We start from the raw sequence: 20341 nt of genomic DNA on the forward strand, positions 1-20341 counted from the left end.
AACCCCTTCTCCTTTAGAAGTGTCAACTGGGGCTGGGTGTGGTGGCTCACGCCTATAATCCCAGCACTTTTGGGAGGCCGAGGCGGGCGGATCACCTGAGGTCGGGAGTTCCAGGCCAGCCTGACCAACATGGAGAAACCCCGTCTCTACTAAAAATACAAAATTAGCCAGGTATGGTGGTGCACACTTGGAATCCCAGCTACTCGGGAGGCTGAGGCAGGACAGTCGCTTGAACCCGGGAGGCGGAGGTTGCGGTGAGCCGAGATTGCACCATGGCACTCTAGCCTGGGCAACAAGAGGAAAACTCTGTCTCAAAAAAAAAAAAAAAAAAAAGTCAATTGGACCTTAGGACAACTTAAAAACATTATCAGGTTTTTATCTTTTAGATAGCAGAGATGAGTCTGCTCTTAATAAGGATTTACAGTAGTCTCTCTGTTTCCTGTGGGCTCCTGGCTGGCTTGTGTGAGCTCCCTCCTCTAGGATGGGCACTCCATCCTGGACATTGCCGCGTTGCCAGCTGTCCTGCCAATATTTTGCTTCCTGTGTTTTTGTTATTGGTTGGGGGTCCAGGAGAGGTTGCTGCCTGGACTGAGTCTACTTGCTGATCAGGATGAAGTTGATCTCTGCTTCCCTTCTGAAGGTTTCTGTGCACGTATTGAATTCAAGGACAGCCTACGTAAGAAGTGTGCACAGCTCCAAGAGTTCTTCACAAATGATTATGCCCTTGTAACTAGCATCCAGAGTGCGAAACACAACCCTGGAAGCCCCTCACGTATCCTGAAGCTTGTAGTCACTCTCAACCCCCACCCATAAGATTAGTGCTGCCTGCTTTTGAATGTATGCAAATGGAACTGTAATAGTCTTTTTGGCTCTGGCATCTTTGCTCAAAAGTATATTTGAGAGATTCATCTGCGTTGTTTGTAAGTCAAACCATGTGAAATTATCAGCAGCCAGCTGTTTTTTTACCCCTAAAAGGTAAATTCATACAGTTCAACCTAAACGTTCTGTCCTGTTCACTGCTGGCTCATAGTCTTTTATACCTGCAGCTGTCCCTTCTCAGGGTGGGCATAGTTGTTTTCCATTGTTGGGCCTTCATGAGTGTGCCTGCCTGTTTGGTGTGCATTACGTGTGCATTCTTGTTGGCGTATACCTTGGGTGAGTTTTTGGGCCCACAGCTAGCTAGCTAGCTTGTTGGCTTTATTTATTTAGAGACGAAGTTGGCTCTTGTCGCCCAGGCTGGAGTGCAGTGGCGCAGTCTCAGCTCACTGCAAGCTCTGCCTCCTGGGTTCAAGTGATTCTCCTGCGTCAGCCTCCCAAATAGCTGGGATTACAGGAGCCTGCCACCACGCCCGACTAATTTTTGTATTTTTAGTAGAGACGGGGTTTCACCATGTTTGCCAGGCTGGTCTCAAACTCCTGACCTCAGGCGATCCACCCACCTTGGCCTCACAAAGTGCTGAGATCACAGGCGTGAGCCACCACCCACGGCCTTGGGCCCACAGTTTTAGATTGTGCCATCCAAGGGTTTTCTAAACCATGTGAGTTTTCTGGCCAGGTGCGGTGGCTTATGCCTGTAATCTCAGTACTTTGGGAGGCTGAGATGGGCAGATCACTTGAGGCCAGGAGTTGGAGACCAGCCTGGCCAACATGGTGAAACCCCATCTCTACGAAAAATACAAAAATTATCTGCGGGTGGTGGCGCACTGCACTTCTGTAATCCCAGCTACTCGGGAGGCTGAGGCAGGAGAATTGCTTGAACCTGGGAGGCGAAGGTTGCAGTGAGCCATCTCGCCACTGCACTCCAGCTTGGGTGACAGAGCAAGACTCTCTCTCAAAAAAATAAAAAATTATAAAGTATGTGAGACTTCTGGTTGCCTTACTGCCTGGCCAACATTTGGTGTTACCTTTTTCCTGATGGGCTTTGACGTTCTTATTGTTTCTGGAACAGTCCTGGTCTTGTTTAAAAACATCCCCATTTTCCTTTCATCCCTGGGAGATACTCTTTTAGTCTTTGTTTGGCTAGTCAAAATCCCGTCTTTAGTATCTGTTGTTGAATTTTTGTGTTTTTGTTTTTTCTGATTCCCTTTCAGCATGTCATCTCAGTCTTGTCCCAGCCCGGGGGTCAGACGGTGTTGCGTACAGACGGTGCAGTGGCTCCTTCATGCTGGTTGCCTCAGAGCCTTTGCCAGGCCTGGAGAACTGCATAGGTGCAGGACTGCCAGTAGTTCTTCCTGCTCTTTGATCATTGAAATGTTTTCTTTTGTGAAGTAATGATGGTAGAAGATGATAGGGTTTCTGTTTGTTTCTAATTCTAGTCTTTACTTGGCATTAAGAAATTGTTAGCTGCTAGGGTTGATTTTGAAATTGTGAAGTTGGAGAGTCCCTCCTGGAGCTGTGGGTTGGATGGCTGCAGCTCTGTGACTCAGCTGTGCTGGGTGCCTCCCTTTGGGGCTCAGTTACCTCCTTTTAAGGTGTCCCTAGGGTGAGAGAGATGATCACGATAGTCCCTTCCACCTGGGCGGCCCAGGCTTTCCTCGCCCATTTAGTGCCTTTCATGTAGAATTTCCACCTGTTGTCTGCTGTGCTGCCACTGCTTGTCCTCCCTCCCTGCCACACAGAGCTGTGTTCTCTGCCTGCCACTCACGCCTACTTCTCTGATCAGGGTTTGTGGAACCCTCCAGCGTGGTCACCATTCTGGTACCTGTGGTAACACGCTCAGCCTTGGTGTGGCACATTCTAGGTCTACCGTTTGTATTCACCAGCCTGTGAGCTTGTGTACATGGGACATGTATCTTCGTTTTGGGGGCTTTCTCCTTCCACTTGATGCCCATCCCTTGAGCGTTTACTACTTGTGGAGCGCTTGGCTTTCAGGCCGTAGAGAGCTTTCCAATCAGTGGTGTCCAGGTAAAAACAAAAGAAGGAAAAAAAGCTTCTAACCTAGCCCTTCTCAGACTTGACTGTGTGTTTGAGCCCCCAGGGTTCTGGTGGTTAGGGCTGGATGGAGTCTGAGCCTCTGCGTGTCTAACAAGATCCCTGGTGGTGCTGCTGCTGTTTCTTGGGTCATGGCCAGTGAGCAAGAAGAGCAGGGAAGTGGGCTGGAGAGGACTGCAGAAACCAGCACAGGGCCTGTTTTGCCTCCTGACATGTGTGGATGCCAGATTCCTGCTTTTTCCTCACCTACTAGGAACAGCGGCTGCACATCCTCTGGTGGTCTTGCGTGGGCTCCTGCTCTGTGGCTGTCAGCGAGCCTTTTACCCCATGCTCAGGCCCCTCTTAGGGGGCAGGGTAGTGTTGGGATGGAGTTTGGAGGTGAGCACAGCATTCGTAGTCACTATCACAACCTTAAATTGTTATTCTGCTTCTTTTTTTTGAGACAGAGTCTCACTCTGTCACCCAGGCTGGAGTGCAGTGGCGCGATCTCGGCTCACTGCAAGCTCCGCCTCCCAGGGTCAAGCAATTCTGCCTCAGCCTCCGGAGTAGCGGAACTACAGGCGCGTGCCACCACACCCAGCTAATTTTTTGTATTTTTAGTAGAGATGGGGTTTCACAGTGTTAGCCAGGATGGTCTTGATCTCCTGACCTCATGATCCACCCATGTCAGCCTCCCGGAGTGCTGGGATTACAGACCGCACCTGGCCGTTATTCTGCTTCTTAAAGCAATGTTCCCCTGCCTGTCTCCAATATCCTGTCTCAGAACTGTCAGCCAGACTGTGCCAGGCCTGGGGCCCTCCTTGGTGCCAGCACTAGCAGGGGAAATCAGCTGCAGGTCTCCAAGGTCTTCCTGGCCTCATTCCTTGCTGGCTCCAAACCCGGAAGTGATGAGGAGAGGGAGGGGACTGAGGCTGTACCTTCTGGGGGAAGCACAGTTTGGAGGCACTTTCGGTCCAGCTCTCCTCTCAGCAGCCCATTCCAGCCTTTTCCTTGTGCTGGGGTGTTAGCCCGGGCTTCCTCACCTCAGAAGGGACAGTACCCATGGGCGGGTGGCTCGGACCATGCAGGGCTTGGCCCTGCTGTGGGCAGTACGAGGTCATCAGTAGGTCCCATGGGCATTTCAGGACGGGCTTGGGAAAGTCACTGGGCTGGGGTGGATGCTACCTCCCTCACTTTAGGCCACAGGGCTGGCCTGAGGAGCAGAGGAGGAGGAGGCCAGCCTCAGGTCCCAATCGCTGCATCACCAATGTGTTGAGTGGAACCCGAGTGTTTATTTTGTAGAAGCTGCGTTGGAGAGAGCTGGGCTCCTGGCATTTGTGGAGCCTGTTGCTTTCCAGGAGGATGGTCTGGGAGGAGAGCCAGGAGCTGCTGGCCGGCATCCAGGTCTGGGCTGGATTACATGGCTGGGCTTGCCCAGAGCAGTGAGCCCCACCCACCACCAGCCCATTCCTGAAGGGACAGGGAAGGAGGTCATGGAGGGTGGGGGTGTTCCCAGAGGAGCAGCAAGCACAACCTGGGCCTCCAAAGCAGGCTGCATGGGGGCTCCACCTTGTCACTTCTGGTGGAGGAGCTGGGCAGACCCCATGCCCTCACAGTGAGTTTGGGAGAATACACCCAGGTGGGGCCCTGCTGTGGATAGGCAGGTGGTGCTGGGGGGTGGGGGAGTGAGGGTGGAGGTGCAGACTGGAGTCCCTGCTCCTGGCACACCAGTGCATGGAGGGCGGTGCCTCCTCTAGCTCCCCCAAGCAGCTTGGCAGTTGGAAGCCATGTGTGAGTGGCATCCCTGGCCCTGCCTGCGTTGGGCGGGGGGGTCATCAGACTACAACTCTGGAGTCAGGCTTTAGGTCCTCACTCTGCTACCTACATGCTCTTGTGACCCTGGGCAAGTTGCTTAACCCCCAAGAACCTTTAATTTCTTATCTGAAACTGCAGAGATAACGCCCCGCTCACTGGGCCTGTGGGAAGATTGAGGAGATCAGACCTGCCCACATGTAGGCTGCCATCTCATACAGGGCTGTGGCGGTGGGCGAGGTGCAGCCTTCGCCCCTTGGAGCTATCTCTTGTCTACCAAGGCTTCCTCAGGGAGGACTCCAGGCCATGGGGATAGGATGAACAAAGTCCTGGGCTTGTGACTGTGCAGGGCTGGTTGGTGTGTCCAGGGGCTGGGCCTTGGGGCACTTCTGGATACTGGCTGCCTCCTGCCTGGCTGCCTTGTGCCTTCCAGGCAGTCTCTCCCATGGCTTAGGGGCTCCTGGGAAGAGGCTGAGCTCACACAGGGCCACCCGTTGCAGCTGCATCTGTCCCGGCCACACCTGAAGTATGAGGTGACTATAGTTGGGGGTTGGTCTGGAACCAGGGCCGATGCTGACCTTAGACTGAAGTTTGGGAGCAGTGGCAGCAAGTCTGGGGCTCTCTCTGACCCTGGTCAGATGTACTTAGACCTCTGGGTTGTGGAAGTTGCCTGGTGGCCCTGCCCTGCCTAGCATGGCTTCTCAGCCTGGCATGCTTGTCCCTCCCACCTGACAGTGGAGCTCGGGCGGGCCGTGGGCGGCCCTGCTCACTCTCAGCTGTCTTGGCGTCAGCTGGAGGGTTCTCATTTCACTGTTACTTTTGTTTAGGCTGGGAGGTGGTTAAGGTGCTGCTCCTTGGGAGTGGGCTGGGGGGAGCTTCTCCTCAGTCCTCCAGCATAGCTCCAGGCCTCCTGCAGGAAGCCCCTTTCTTGGTAGTAAAGGATAGCTTCCAGGGAGGAAGGTGGATGAGAAGGATCCTAGGAGGGCTAGGCGGGATGGCCTGCTTGGGGTGGCGCCCTTTCCTGGTCTTCACCCTTCTCCCCAGGCCTCCCTCCTGGCTGGGCGTGAGCCAGAAGTTTCAGTCTGAAGGCAGGGTTATCATGTGGCTGAGATGAGTTTGACCCCCGCCTGTGGGCCTGGACGTGGGCGTGAGATGTGTTCCTGTCTCCCAGAGTCATGGCCTCCAGAAGGAGCCATGTGGAGGCCCAGCACCTGGAGCAGTTCTGAATGCCTGGCTTCTTGGAGGCCAAGGTTCTAGGCAAGGTGGGTATCCAGGCTGGGTTGGGGCAGTGCCTCTCAGAATTGGGGCTGGAGTTTCCTGCTTTCTGCCTCAGCAGGGATCACTTTGATCTGAAAACCTCCTCTCTCCTGGCCTTTGAAAGATGCTGACTAGAGCACACTCTCCTGCCCTTTGCTGGGTGCTTAGAAGAAAGGCCTTGAGGTAACCCTGTTCCAGCCTCCCCACAGGCCCCTGCAGCCACGTGGACTGACCAGAGGCTCCACACACGGGCAGGTGTGGCCTGACCTCGCTCGCGTAGGATCATGGGCTAGTGGGTCCCCCAATGGGGGGCTGCTTCGAGTGTCAGGAGGCAGCGAGGGGTGCACAGTGCCCTGGCCTCTGCCATCCCCGTTGGTTATTTGGCTGGTCTGTGTTTGGTGAGCGAGTAGAGGGATCCAGAGTGCAGGGTGGTCTTGGCCTGGGGCTTTTGACTGCCCTCTGGAGATGCACTGAGGGCCACCCAGCTGGGGAGCAGCCGGGAGGGATAGGAACCTGTTCCCACTGTGGCATCTTTGCCCTTCCAATCTGCTTCACCGTCGCCCTTGATCTCTGTGCCAGTTGGAAAATTGAGGCAGAACCAATACCCCTGGGTGATCTGGAAATCATCAGTGGGAAGGGTTGCCTTTGCCCAAGGCTAAAGATGACATGTCCCTGCACACTTTCAGCCCCAGGTTTTCCTACCTTGTGGGGAGGTGAGAGGTCAGGGTGAGTGCTGGGTTTGAGGCTCAGCTGTGCTGTGTGAAGATTGAGAGGAGCCCACCTGATCACATGGACAGAACGCACAGGCTCCTGGGTGGCCCTGCGGCTCCAGTGACATAGCACATGGTCGGGCATACAACAGTGCCCAGGAAAGGTTAGCTGGTGGTGTTTCCAGGGTATCGTGCTGAGCTTCTGAGATGAGAATGTCCTGTGAAAGCCTCTGTCTGGAGGTTTCATTGGAAGTAAAGTTTACATACAATTAAGGGCCTAAAATTGTATTTTCATTTACCTTAACCCAGATTCCCAGCAAGCTAGAGAGCTGCCCTCACCCCAAAGAGTTCCTCATGCCCCGTCCTGGATAGGCCTGTCAGGGCCAGGCAGTGGGCGCTTGTCCCTCGCCCCATCCTGGACAGTCCTCACCTGTCGCTCACAGCCTGTTCTGCTCTGGTTTTTACCCTCAGTCCGTTTTGCCTATTCTAGAACTTGATGTAAATGGAGTCATGCAGTCTGTACTCTCGCAAAAGTCTTCTTCCACTCAGTGCCACGACTGTGAGGTTCATCCATGTCTCTGCATCATTTCTGCCCTTTGTATTTTTAGGGTTTTAAAAGTAATACTTTTGGCTGGGCACGGTGGCTCACACCTGTAATCCCAGCACTTTGGGAGGCTGAGGCAGGCGGATCACAAGGTCAGGAGGTCGAGACCATCCTGGCTAACACGGTGAAACCCCGTCTCTACTAAAAATACAAAAAATTAGCCGGGCGTGGTGGCAGGCGGCTGTAGTCCCAGCTACTCGGGAGACTGAGGCAGGAGAATGGCATGAACCTGGGAGGCAGAGTTTGCAGTGAGCCCAGATCGCCATGGCACTCCAGCCTGGGGGACAGAATGAGATTCCATCAAAAAAAAAAAAAAGGTAATACTTTTTAAAATGTTGAGTATTACAGAAATGAACATAATATACAGATACTATGGTTTTTCTGTAATCCCGCTCCCCAGAGATAATCTTACTTAGCAGTTGGGTATGTGTGTCCCCAAGGTTTTTCTTGCCACAGAATGGACTTGCTGGGCCGGGTAGGCTCTGACTGGGCCTTGCAGAGCAGCTGCCTTACTGTAAGTTCTTTGAGGGCGAACAGAGCGGGGGTGGGGCTGCTGTGGCTGGCCCAGTTCTACAGAGCTTGGGCATGTGCCACCAGTGGCTTGAGAGGCTGGAGTATCTGAGTGCTGTTCCAGCCCGCTAGCACCTGCCTGGGCCCTGGGCCTGCCCTCAGTGTCTGGGGACCTGGCTTTCTGGCTTTTTTGTGGCGGGGACTGGGAGGGGAAGGAAAGGAGAGCAGTTGGCATGTTGGCTGTTCCGTAAACAGGGCCGTGTGTCTGCTCTAACAGATGGCCTGGGAAGGTAACCCCGAGGCTTTGTGTTCCTTCCTGCAGACCTTCAGGATTCCGCAGAGAGAGCTGGCCCTCCCTCCAGCTGCTGGGGCTCTTGTCCTTCCCAGCTGGGGCCAGTCCACCTACAGGGGGAATCCTGGAGCTGAGGGATCCTAACTTGGGAGATAGTTTCTGTGCTACCCTTCTTGCCTCTCCCCTGGACCCCTGAAGGCTCTGTCCTAGGGAGGGGATGGGTCACAGCCTTAGGCGAATGCCCAGCTGGCCCCGATAGCCCAGGCCTGCTGCCCTACTGCCTCAGATCCTGGGCGTCCTGGGAGCCAGCGTTTCTGGATGGGCAGTAGGCCAGGGCTGGGCGTGCTAGCCTCGGGGCTGATAGGCGTGCTGCCCGGGCCTGCTGCCAGGGGCTGCTGGGTGCTAGGTGGCATTCTCATCGCAGCCTGCAGTCAGCTGCTTCCAGGGCTGAGCACCAGCATCCGGGCCAGCACCCAGAGCCGTGTTTCTAGTTACCTGGCACTCCCCAGGCGGAGCCCTCCAGGATAGGCACTTGCTGTTTCATGTCCAGCGGTGAGCGGGTAGGGCAGAGCTCTGTGGCTGAGAAGGAAGGAGCAGTGCTTAGTAGGCGTTTCGCAGCAGGATGGCGTGTGCCACCCCCCTGCCCCGCCATGGGGTGAGGCTGCATTGCTGCTCGCAGACACAGTGGCGGCCTAGATGTGGCCCAGACTTGGCCCAGCTGGTGTGGATGGCACGCATGGTGGCATTGTGCTTGCTGTGAACTTTCTGCAGGTGGCTCTGACACCCCCTAACTCAAGTGGAGGGTTCAGGGAGGAGCCCTGCCCTGTTCTACATCACAGCTGACCCAGCCTGGGGCCATCCTTCCTTGGTGGGGAGACCTAGTGCTAGCCTTGGGCTTGTAAAGTGCCCGTCAGGGCCAGGCAGTGGGCACTGACGGAGGGTGTTCCCACCCCCATGGCACTCAGGTGCCCCCCAGTCCTATTCTGCCACCCACTCCCTGCGCGGCATCCAGTAGCTGGCCTGGCCTCTGGCAAGGTCAGGTGACCCCTGGCTGCAGAGTTTGGCATGCGCTCTACCCATGGTTGACTGGGTCCTGAGGGGCAGTGGTTGGGGAGCAGATGAAGTGGCACAGGGCTGGATGGTGGTATCTGATTGCCTCCAGTGTGCCACCGAGACCCTCTACCCAGTTTTTCGACTGCTCCCGCCAGTGTTTCAGTGGCCCCTGCCCTACTGGCCTCATCCCAGCATTAGCCCACTGGGCCCAACCCTTGCTAACTGTGGACGCCCTTGGGCTTCCTACCAACAGAGCTGGTTCTGCTGCCCTCTGGGCCTTTGGTGGGGTCCTGGACCAGCCATGCACCCCCTCCCCTCACACCCCCCACCCAGAGGGGAGCTGCACTAGGGGCTGGAGAGACAGCTGGCCAGCTGCAGCCTAGGCCTCCCAGCTCTGGGCCGGCACCCCGGGTCTGGTCACATTCCTGAGGGACCTGCTGAGCCTCCCTGGCCCTGGGGGTGGAGTGGGGGAAGGGGAAACGGGGACGGGCCGCTGCACGCCCCTTCCCCGACCCCGGCTCTATTCCGTGGGGGCCCAGGCTGGCAGGTGTGGGGTGCAAGGACCCACCACCTCAGGATCCCCCCTCCTGCAGGACCCAGAGCTCTGGGGGTGGGAGGGAACCCCTCGTTTCCTGGCGGCAGCTGCCCAAGGCTTTGGTGGGCCGGTATTGAAAGCCCAGGCCTGCAGCTTGGGTGAGCCCTTAGGCAGTGAAACCTCTGGAGAGGGAAGGCCATGTGGTCAGGCCAGGCGGGCTAGGGGGCTGGGCCCTCTGGGCAGGGAGGCGGTGAGAGCAGATCAGGAAGGGAAGGAACGGGGGAGCCAAAAGCGGTTGAGACTGGTTCTTATAAATAGCCCTTGCACAAGTGGCTCCAATTTTGACCTTTTGTTATGTAAATGTGGCCAGCTTGGGAAGGGCCCTGCCCAGGCCTCCTGCTACCACACCCGCAGGCCAAGAATTGTGTGTCTGCCACCAGCGCCCCCTGGCCTAGGTGGCCCCTGGGTGTCCTTAATCTCCTGTGTGTGTTAGAGGGGCAGGCATTGCACCCACCGAACTCCCTAGACCTGTTCGCTGGTCCTTACTCTTCCTGGCTGTCAGATCCAACTACCAGGCTCTGTGGCCACAGTCTCCTGCTGGGCTGCCCCTGGTGCCCCAGCCAGAGACCCCCAGGTGCGTCCCTTCATCGCCCTTCCCTCCCTTCTTCGCTGATGGCTGTCTGGGTGACTGTGTTCGTCTTCTCTTCCCCAGGTGACCAGGCATTGATGCACCCCCAGGAAGGCCACGCGCTCAGGAGCCCCCCCCGCCGCTGGCTGCTGCTCACATGGTGTCTGGGCCCTTGGCACTCCGGTGAGGCGCAGGGGAGGGGGGACCGCCACTGGCCCCTTTCCCCGGAGTTTCTGGGTGGCACACAGCCCCACAGCTCGGCCTCTATCTGTCTGACCCGTGGTCCTTTGTGTGCACACAGCACTGGGCAGTGTGGAGGGAGCCTGGAGGCCACTGCCCTCTTCCAGTCCCCTTGCCAGTCTCGGGGTACCAGGTGTCTGGGTGCTGGCAGAGCCGGCACTGATGTTTTCTGGGGGCTAGGTTACTGGGGCCAAGTGTGGAAGCCACACCTTGGGGGCTCTTTGTCCCTGCCTGGTGGGTTGAGGCGGGCAGGGAGTGGAGGAGGATTGGTTCACGAAGTCTCCAGCCCATGAGCACCCTCCTGAACTGCTGTGGGCTGGGCTGCTAGGCAGAGAGCCGCTGGCGGGTGCTTGCTGCCTCTTGCTGTTAGGCTCTGAGTGCCAGCGGTGTTCCAGGCTGTGTTGCACCCTTGCGTGTTCACATTGAGCTCTGGCACCTTCAGGGGCCTGTGAATGTTAGGGTTTTTCTTTGTCTTTGCAAACAAGGGTAGGCATGAGGCTGGGGAGAGTTTCTGTCATGAGAAGGTTGGGTAGGGTGGGACCCTTTCCAGGCCTCTGCTCTGGGAGGCAGGGCTGGACACTCTGGGAGGGGCAGTAGATCCCAGAGGGCGGTGGGCTCAGAGTAGTTCAGCTGCTGAGAGACTGGACCCTGAACTGCGAGGCTCAGAGCTGCCTGTGGGCCCCGCTGCTCGGTTGTCCGTCAGCCATGAGGAAAGTTCATGTTTTCACTGGCCCCCTGCCCTGTGGAAGCCTGTGAGCCTATCCGGGGCACAGGTGGCCACCTGGACACTGGCATGCCTTCCCCAGCACCCTCCTGCTGAGCCATTCTCTGAGGGACTCTGGTAGGGGTGAGAGGATGGAGCTGGGAGTACTGCGTTTTGTACTGGGGAGTTGGGCTTAGGGCTGAGGATGGCTTTGAGTCATTCAAAGCCTTCCAGAGTCATTCTTTATACCGCCGGCCACAGTCCTTGCCTCCGCCCTTGGAGGGACATTTCCCTCCTCCCCCCGGCGTCTATCTGGTGCCCACTGTGCACCCATTTGCCCTGCCCTTGTACTCCCACTGTGGGGTGCCTGGTCCATGGCAGAGGAGGCTGCTCAGTGGGGATGGGAAGCGTGGCGAGGAGCACCCGCTCAGAACCCCATGTCTTGCTGCTGCATAAGCAGGAACACACCTGGGCCGTCAGAGTTCCTGCAGAGACCAGCGGCGTCAGTGTGCTTCTTGCTTACTGATCTCAGTTAGTGCCTGTGCCATTCTGTGTGATGGAGGCCAGCTGTCCACCTTTCCTAGGCCCAGATGGTGCTGCCCTTCCTAGAGAGGACGGAGGGTTCAGGTGGTGCCAGGTGCTTGGCCTAAGCTACCTTTCCTCCTTGGCAGCTGGAAGCCCAGGCTGGGGCAGCACTTGGCGCCCGCCCAGAGTGCGAGGCAGCCCAGGGCCTTGGGGAGAGGCAGGGCTGGCTGCAGGCTGACTGCAGCATCTGGGAGGCAGCAACATGACTGCTGGCAGTTTGATTTGGGCCCTGCCGTATTTCAAAAGGAACCACCATTTAGTTTTGGGGGATTTTTGCCAGCTTTCAAGACAAGCTCCTCTCACGGAGTCCTCTGCTTCCCGAAGTTTAAAGCCATCTGGTCATTTTTGGGTCCCCTTCTGGTCCCTGAGGGTTGACTTCATTTAGTGTAGAGACAGTAGCCCGGGCTGTGAAACCAAATGCAAATCCCAGTTTCTCTATTTGTCCCCTCATCACCCTCCACCTCCATTTTCTCATTAGTGCAAATGGGGCAGGGGCCTCTGTCCCTTCTCAGTTTGAGTCCTCAGTGAGGTGACACGTGTACTGCGCCTGCATGTGGTGGGCATTGTGGGCTTATGTGCCGTGTACTGTGCCGCAGGGGCTCCTGCCCTATGTGGGGTCAGTTCTGAGGCCCTTTGCCTCGTCGAGCCCCACCCTGCCCCAGAGCCCTGGTCCGAGTGTGCCAGTCATCTGACGCATGCGTGCCTGTTCTTGCCCACAGGTGGTGCGCGTGGGCAGGGCGCGGGGACATGGGGCCCGACATGGAGCTGCCCAGCCACTCGAAGCAGCTCCTGCTGCAGCTGAACCAGCAGAGGACCAAGGGCTTCCTGTGTGACGTCATCATCATGGTGGAGAACTCCATCTTCCGGGCCCACAAGAACGTCCTAGCCGCCAGCAGCATCTATTTCAAGTCCCTGGTCCTGCACGACAACCTCATCAACCTGGACACAGACATGGTCAGCTCCACAGTGTTCCAGCAGATCTTGGACTTCATCTACACAGGCAAGCTGCTGCCCAGCGACCAGCCAGCCGAGCCCAACTTCAGCACCCTCCTCACTGCCGCCAGCTACCTCCAGCTGCCCGAGTTGGCAGCCCTCTGCCGCCGCAAACTCAAGCGAGCCGGCAAGCCCTTTGGCTCTGGGAGGGCGGGGTCCACTGGCATGGGGCGGCCCCCCCGCAGCCAGCGGCTGTCCACGGCCTCTGTCATCCAAGCTCGGTATCAGGGGCTCGTGGATGGGCGCAAGGGGGCCCACGCCCCCCAGGAGCTCCCCCAAGCCAAAGGCTCAGACGATGAACTCTTTCTTGGTGGCTCTAACCAGGATAGCGTGCAAGGTCTGGGCCGGGCTGTCTGCCCAGCTGGCGGGGAGGCGGGTCTGGGGGGCTGCAGCAGCAGCACCAACGGGAGCAGCGGGGGCTGCGAGCAGGAGCTGGGCTTGGACCTGTCCAAGAAAAGCCCACCCTTGCCCCCTGCCACCCCAGGTCCCCACCTCACTCCCGATGACGCAGCCCAGCTGAGCGACAGCCAACATGGCTCGCCCCCTGCGGCCTCTGCTCCTCCCGTTGCCAACAGTGCCTCTTATTCTGAGCTGGGGGGCACCCCTGATGAGCCCATGGATCTGGAGGGGGCCGAGGACAACCACCTGAGCCTGCTGGAGGCGCCTGGTGGGCAGCCTCGGAAGAGCCTCCGGCACTCCACTCGGAAGAAGGAGTGGGGCAAGAAGGAGCCTGTGGCTGGCTCCCCCTTTGAGCGGAGAGAAGCAGGGCCCAAGGGTCCCTGCCCGGGAGAGGAGGGTGAGGGGGTCGGGGACAGGGTTCCCAATGGCATCCTGGCTAGTGGGGCTGGCCCTAGCGGGCCCTATGGGGAGCCCCCCTACCCCTGCAAGGAGGAGGAGGAGAACGGCAAGGATGCAAGTGAAGACAGTGCGCAGAGCGGGAGCGAGGGGGGCAGCGGCCATGCCAGCGCCCACTACATGTACCGGCAGGAGGGCTACGAGACGGTGTCCTACGGGGACAACTTGTATGTGTGCATTCCCTGCGCCAAGGGCTTCCCCAGCTCTGAGCAGCTCAATGCGCACGTGGAGACTCACACGGAGGAAGAGCTGTTCATCAAGGAAGAGGGGGCCTACGAGACAGGCAGTGGGGGTGCCGAGGAGGAGGCCGAGGACCTGTCAGCACCCAGTGCGGCCTACACGGCTGAGCCCCGGCCCTTCAAGTGTTCGGTCTGCGAGAAGACCTACAAGGACCCAGCCACGCTGCGGCAGCACGAGAAGACGCACTGGCTGACACGGCCCTTCCCCTGCAACATCTGTGGCAAAATGTTCACGCAGCGCGGCACCATGACGCGTCACATGCGGAGCCACCTGGGCCTGAAGCCCTTCGCCTGCGATGAGTGTGGCATGCGCTTCACCCGTCAGTACCGCCTCACGGAGCACATGCGTGTGCACTCGGGCGAGAAACCTTACGAGTGCCAGCTGTGCGGGGGCAAGTTCACCCAGCAGCGCAACCTCATCAGCCACCTGCGCATGCACACCTCCCCCTCCTAGAAGCCAAAGACCCGCGGGCGCCCTCTGCCACCTTGCTCCCCGGGAACCCATGGAAGGAGAAGCGAGGTGATGCAGCAGCAGGGGCAAGACCCTGGGTCCAGTGGAGGCTCCGGGTGGCCCCTCTGGCCCCCACTGCCCACACCCAGAGCTTTAATGGACAGTCCGTACCAAGCAGAGCCGAGAGGAGGGAAGCCAGGGGTCCCAGCCCGTCTACCTCCCCATCCCACCCAGGCCCCCAGCTCCCCGCGGGGGCCACCGCAGGGCCTGTGGGCTGGGTCACGTGGGTCTCGCTGGGACCTGGTCCCTTTGTTGCAGGCGGCTTGGAGAAAGGGCAGTGGGACGCTGGCCACGGCCAGGGTGGTGTCGGGAGCAGGCCTCACCCCGCTGGCCGTGTCTGTGTGTGTGCACGTGTGCTTGTGTCTGTGCGGGCGCGTGCAGCCCTGGTTCTGCAGGGAACAGGTGCTGGGGGTGCAGATCCCTCCCTCCTTGAGCCAGGGTGGCACTGTTCACTGGCGCTGGGACAGTCAGGGTGACCCCACCGCCTACCTCTCTACATCTAAAGAGCCCTCTGGGCCTGTGTTGCTGTTATTCCTACTGATCTGTTCCTCTGTTTTTCTTTTTGATTTTTGTTTTTTAAACCAAAACAGACAATAGCTTATTTTCTTTCCGCCCCCTCCGGGGCTGAGCCTGGGTCTGAAGACTGAATGTAACAGGGGCCGCTGGCACTCCTGCGCGTCCCCCGGCTCTGGCGCTGCAGGGGTGTCGGCGCGCCACCTCTCCAGGCCCCAGAAGCCCTTCTTGCCCAAAGGCTTCCCTGGTCCCTGAGCCCTGCCTCGGCTGCCTCAGGGGAGAGTGCTTTTCCTGTAGTTTCCAAGGAATATTCTTTGTTTAGAGGTACTTGTTTTTTATTAAGAGAAAAACCAGTGTAACGTTTATGTGACTGTTTGAACTGGAAGGTCTGGGGTTCCGGGGGGTGGGGGGAGGCTAGACTCAATGCCGGGGCCGTCGGTACTCTTGTTTTCATTTGTGTGTGCGTGCGTGTGTGTGTGTGTATGTGCGTATGTGTGTGTCTATGTGTGGTGTGTGCCGTATGCATGGGCAGATGTTTCGCTTTCCCTCCTTCCTCGCTGAACAAGGTGGAGACTTCTGACCTTTTGCTACCTCTTGAATTCATGACAACGATATGTTGGTGACTGGCAGTGGAAGCCCTTGACACTCTTGTTTTCCTTCGCTTAGCACCTAGGAAGTCGTGTGCAGGAGCCAGCAGGGCGCCAAGTGGCCCAGTGCCTGCAGCTCACCTGTGGGTTTTCCCTTTGAGCCTTTGGCCACATCCACCTCGAGGGGACCCTGGCACCCCGGGCACACAAACCTCTGTGGTATAGGTGAGGGGTGTGAGGCCCCAGCCTGGAGCCAGGCACTGGGTGCTGACAGGGGAACCATGAGGAGGGTGGCAGGTCTTTGCAGCTCCCGGCCAGGGTGAGGCGGAAGTGAGCCCTCATCCTGCCACTCCTATCCTCCATTCCTGCAAGAGTTTTAAGCTTGAGAGAGCTGACCACAGGGCCCCCCGGGGAACAGGGATGGCACTTCCCTGAGCAGTCCTGGCCCCCGGCCACTGTCTCGGGGCCCACCTCTCGCCCCTCATCTTGGTAATTAGCCAGCCTCAGATACTTCTGTGGGCCCTGAAGTGGGCTCTCAAGGTCAGACCAAGGTTGCTGATCTCAGTCCCACTGTCTTCAGCCAGCTGAAGCTGTGGGGCTGGGCTGGCAGCCTTTATTGTCATCTTGCTTCACCATTTTTTTTTCTCTCTCTTTTCATTCTATTTTAAGTTTAGACCAAAAAAATACAGAGTCATCCCCTACCCCCACCCCTCTAGAGACCCTCCAGCTAAAAACAGAGCCTGAGTTCAGGGACCCAAGTGGTGAGCGGCGTCTTTTGGGGGTGAGGGAGCTTGGGTAGATGAGGCTCCTGGCTGAGCCCTCCCTGTGGTGATCCCAGCCTAAGATGGCCCCTCTTCCCTCCTGGTGGGAGACAGAGGACTGGACCCTGGGTCTCAGGTTCCAGCAAGTCAGGCTAGGGACCTGGGGGGAGGAGACCCATGGACTTCACCCATACTCAGTGAGGGGGCTCCTGCCGTCCTGACGCCACCCCGCCCCATCAGCACTTAAGCCACATGACACAAAGTCTGTACCGCACGGGAAATGTTCACGCGCCTGGCCGTGTGCATGGCCTCCCGGGCTGTGGGCAGCCGCATCTGTGAGGTGACTCGTGAAAGTAGGTGATTCCTTTGCAGAACTTCAGGGACTGGGAGCAGAGGCCCCTCACTCAACGACGTTTGTGCGACATAGTATTGTATCCACCTTAGTATTGTATCGAGCCTTTTCTGTGTTTTAATGAGAAAGCAGAACACTAGTTTCCTATTTAAGACTTTAAGGGTTTGTGGGGCGGGGCGGGATTAACACAACATTTGGCTTTGTTTTCTTTTTCCTTTGATTTCCACATCAGGTGTGTGCGAGTGTGTGTGTGTGGAGATGTTAAGAGCCTCACAAGGAAACTGGGTTATTGGAGGCCAAGGCGGCTTACAGTTCTCTGCGTTCGTCACTTAATTCCTGAATGTTTCAGAGAAACAGGAATCAGAAAATAGCAGATATCATGTAGGAAAGAGAGGATAAACAAAGAAAAAAGAAAAAAAAATAAGCTCATACCCAAATTCACAAAGCCTATTTTTTAAACCAAAGCACATTTTGAATGAGTATGGAACCTCCATGGGCTCAGAAAAAAGATGCTAATATATTTATCTCATTGTTTACATAAGCTTTTACAGTTTCAGACCTCAGCAGCTGTAAGGCCAGTCCAGGGAACCCTCCCCTGCTGCTGGAAACCCTTCTGAGTTGGCCCTGGAGTGGCTCACGGGCAGAGAAGGGTAGCCCTGGGGCTGGGGGAGGGATTGGAAGCCTCCCTGGAGTCACCTGAGCCCTCGTCCCCATTCCCAGGGCCCCTCCAAGCCCAGCTGGCACCAAAGAGCTTGGGCCCGTGCTGACCAGCCCCCAAGGCCCTCTGGCCGGACCATGCTGGTCCTGACCAGCTAGCCTACGCGGGGATGGCCGTCAGTTCTGGCCACAGGACCCGAGTCTGGGCTTGGGTCCCCCTGCTGCTCTGCCCGTGACCCTTGGGGATGGGTTGATGCGAGGGTCCCACTCAAGCCAAAAAGCCGGGACCTTTGCGCAGCTCTGTCGACTCTGGTGGGTCCCCACTCCTGGGGCCCCCTAACCCCACCCCAGGCAGCGGAAGGGGCTGACTGGGTCTGGTCCTTACCAACATAGACGGTGCAAACACTCTTAACAGTGTTGTTTTTGTATCAATATGTTTGTGCAGTGATGAATGTATTTATTTCTCAGACTTGGGGCGAGTGAGCGGGTGGCAGGCCGGGCTCCGCCACTGCATGCTCCCGCCGGACCGAGCCCCAGCAAGGGCTCCTCCAGGATTGCAAAAAAAAAAGGAAGAGAAAAGATGAACCTTTAAGCAAATAAGAATCTCAGAGACTCGCAGCATAGCCATACACCTCAGCCTGTGAAATGAACGATCCGGACCCTCACCAACTTTCCCCACCTCAGGCAGCCCTGTGTGTTTACCGTTCATCACCACTCGGGGGCACCGGGCCGCCCACCCACTCCCAAAATCCGTCAGTATTCACTGGACCTCAGGCCCTGTGCAGGAGTGCGATCCGGGCTGGGCCGCTGGGCAGGCTGACCCCCTGCCCTCCTGCGGCCATCCTGAGTTGGGGTGAGGCCTGGGCAGCCGGAGGGCAGGGCTCAGGGAGCAGGAGGCTGCATCCGTCCACCCCCAGGCGTGGGGGACAAAAGCCAAAGGTGCCAGGCCTTAGAGCAGACAAGGGCTCTCAGCCCTGGCATGCCCCCTAAAGGGACCAAGGTCCTCCTATTTCCCAGAACCCCGTTGGGGCAGATGTTACTGAACCTGTGAATCAGACGCCAGGAGTGAGGGCTGGGGAGGGACCTAACTGGAGCCTCAGTCTGACATTCCACGCCGGGGTGGGGGTGGGCATGAGCGGTGGGAACTGAGGCTGCCCAGGACCCCCTTCCTAGGATGCCCCGGCTTCAGTCACCCCACTTTAACTTTCTACCAGGACCCCCTCCCCCTACCTCACCTTGCTATTTATTGCTGTAATTTATTGACCTCAAAAATGCTGCATAACAGACCTCACTGGGGCAGGGAGGATCCCCAGGGCTCCCACCCTCCACTTGGCGGGCCCCGTGGGGCCAGGTGCTGAGGGGAGCCTCTCTACCCCACCCATCACTAGCTTCCCTCTGCCCTCTCCCACCCCGGGGGGGACCCAGGTTGGGCACTGGCTCATTTCTCGCAAATACCTCGAAGGGGAGGGGGGAGGGATGGGGTTATAGCTGTTTTGTTTAATTGGAACTGGAAGAGGGATCATGTTTTGTTTTATGCCCTTCCCAGAAGGGGGGAGGGACACCGGGATCGCACTCCTGTACTGGCCACCGCCGCTGTCACTTGTCACATTGAGTTCATGTCCCTTGAGAGTTTGTATAAATTCAGGTCAGAGCTGCAGCTACACAGCTGCCCAGTGTCATAGAAAAGCAATTCACCAACGACTGATCTCTCCATTCAGAAGTGTGCAGTCTTAAATGTACAGCGATAAGAAACTGTTATTTTATGATCTTTTCATTAAAAGCTTGATTGAAAACTCTGGTGTGGGACCTCCATATTCTGCTTTGGCTGTTCTCTCTAGCAAAGTGACACGGCTTCTAAGTCTTAGAAGGGTGGGGTCTGGGATGGGCATCTGCCTGCCACTGTTCAGTGGTGCTTGGTGGGTCCTGGGGGTGTGCACCGTGCCAGGGAACTAGCACTTTGGGGTCAGCATCCTCTTGGGCAGTGTTGGCCTGAGTTAGCTGAGGCTGTCTGGGAAGCAGCGATGTGTGTGCAGTTACAGCAGCATGGACCTGGTGACTGGGGAGAGGAGGATGGCTGCCCAGTGCCTGGGACCCCTCATTGGAGTGGCTCAGTTGGGACTGAGGAAGGGCTGGGGCAAGGCGAGGGCTGCTCCCTTCTGCCCACTGCTGCTTCCTGGTGCTTGGCCTGAGGGGAGGGGAGGGAGGAAGGAAAAGGGGTAATGTTAATCCCCAGGGACCACCCGGAATGGGGATCCTCGTGTGAAGACCTAGGAGGAGGAGCAGGGGTGGAGGGTGATTGCCACTTTAGACCTCTGGCATGGACTGCAGACATCTGGTGGCTCCTGGCAGCCGGAGATGAACCCAGTGACCCCAGACTCCAGAAGAACTTGAGCGCAGCTACTCTAAGTCTTGGTGAGTTCTGTTCAGTTGCTTTAAAATGATTTTTTGGCTTTATCAAAGTAATTCCTGAATAGAATTTAAGTAATTAAATGGTTCTCAAAAAGGCTTAAAACAAAAATAGTTTATCTCCCCAACTCCATCCCATACTATACAGCCAATCACTTTGAATTATTTTAGCACTTTCTTCTGCATTTATCTCTATGTGTCTAAGTAGTATTCTTACACTGCTGTCTTATTCCATTTTGGAGTCTGGACTTATTATCAATAAGGATTTTAGTTCATTTATACTCTCTTCTCCCTAATTTATATCCACCAAATACTTGTAAAATGTGTAGTTTGATCTAGAGGTTGGCAAACTTTCTATTAAGTAGATTGTAAAAATATATATATTTATATTAGATATATAAAATCTATATTTACATATAGATTTACATATATATATATTTACTCCAGCTTTTGTCTAGGCTGGAGTGCAGTGGATCATAGCTTACTGTAACCTCAAACTCCTAGGCTCAACTGATCCTCCTACTGCCGCCTCCCATGTAGCTGGGACTGCAGGTGTGAGCCACCACATCCAGCTAATTTTTTTTTGTTTTTGTAGAGACGGTCTTGCCATCTTGTCAGGCTAGTGTTG

General features: G+C 56.8%; 1 protein-coding gene across 4 annotated transcripts in view, besides 3 other annotated features; it reads left to right on the plus strand.

The window, feature by feature from the left end:
• HIC2 (HIC ZBTB transcriptional repressor 2) overlaps window positions 1-19100 on the plus strand; it is a 34093-nt gene extending 14993 nt beyond the window's left edge. For 2 of the 4 annotated variants that reach the window (NM_015094.3, XM_011530008.4), the window contains exons 2-3: window positions 10396-10494; window positions 12559-19100. In NM_015094.3, the coding sequence (NP_055909.2) occupies window positions 10469-10494; window positions 12559-14380 (1848 nt within the window). In that variant the 5' untranslated portion in view covers window positions 10396-10468 and the 3' untranslated portion in view covers window positions 14381-19100. Of the gene's footprint in view, window positions 1-3553; window positions 5256-5893; window positions 5985-10395; window positions 10495-12558 lie in introns of those variants that run through there. The other 2 variants (XM_011530009.2, XM_017028669.3) reach the window with 2 other exon arrangements.
• Window positions 4479-5014: an enhancer, noted in NCBI's record as "H3K4me1 hESC enhancer chr22:21791131-21791666 (GRCh37/hg19 assembly coordinates)". NCBI's record gives its function as "activates a minimal SCP1, AML or CMV promoter by ChIP-STARR-seq in naive H9 embryonic stem cells {active_cell/tissue: H9 hESC(naive)}" and the evidence as "EXISTENCE:reporter gene assay evidence [ECO:0000049][PMID:30033119]".
• Window positions 5015-5551: an enhancer, noted in NCBI's record as "H3K4me1 hESC enhancer chr22:21791667-21792203 (GRCh37/hg19 assembly coordinates)". NCBI's record gives its function as "activates a minimal SCP1, AML or CMV promoter by ChIP-STARR-seq in naive H9 embryonic stem cells {active_cell/tissue: H9 hESC(naive)}" and the evidence as "EXISTENCE:reporter gene assay evidence [ECO:0000049][PMID:30033119]".
• Window positions 17003-17556: an enhancer, noted in NCBI's record as "H3K27ac-H3K4me1 hESC enhancer chr22:21803655-21804208 (GRCh37/hg19 assembly coordinates)". NCBI's record gives its function as "activates a minimal SCP1, AML or CMV promoter by ChIP-STARR-seq in primed H9 embryonic stem cells {active_cell/tissue: H9 hESC(primed)}" and the evidence as "EXISTENCE:reporter gene assay evidence [ECO:0000049][PMID:30033119]".
• Window positions 19101-20341: the final 1241 nt, after the last annotated feature.

Source organism: Homo sapiens, chromosome 22, assembly GCF_000001405.40.
Source record: "Homo sapiens chromosome 22, GRCh38.p14 Primary Assembly".
In the NCBI taxonomy this organism is placed as follows: Eukaryota; Metazoa; Chordata; class Mammalia; order Primates; family Hominidae; genus Homo; species Homo sapiens.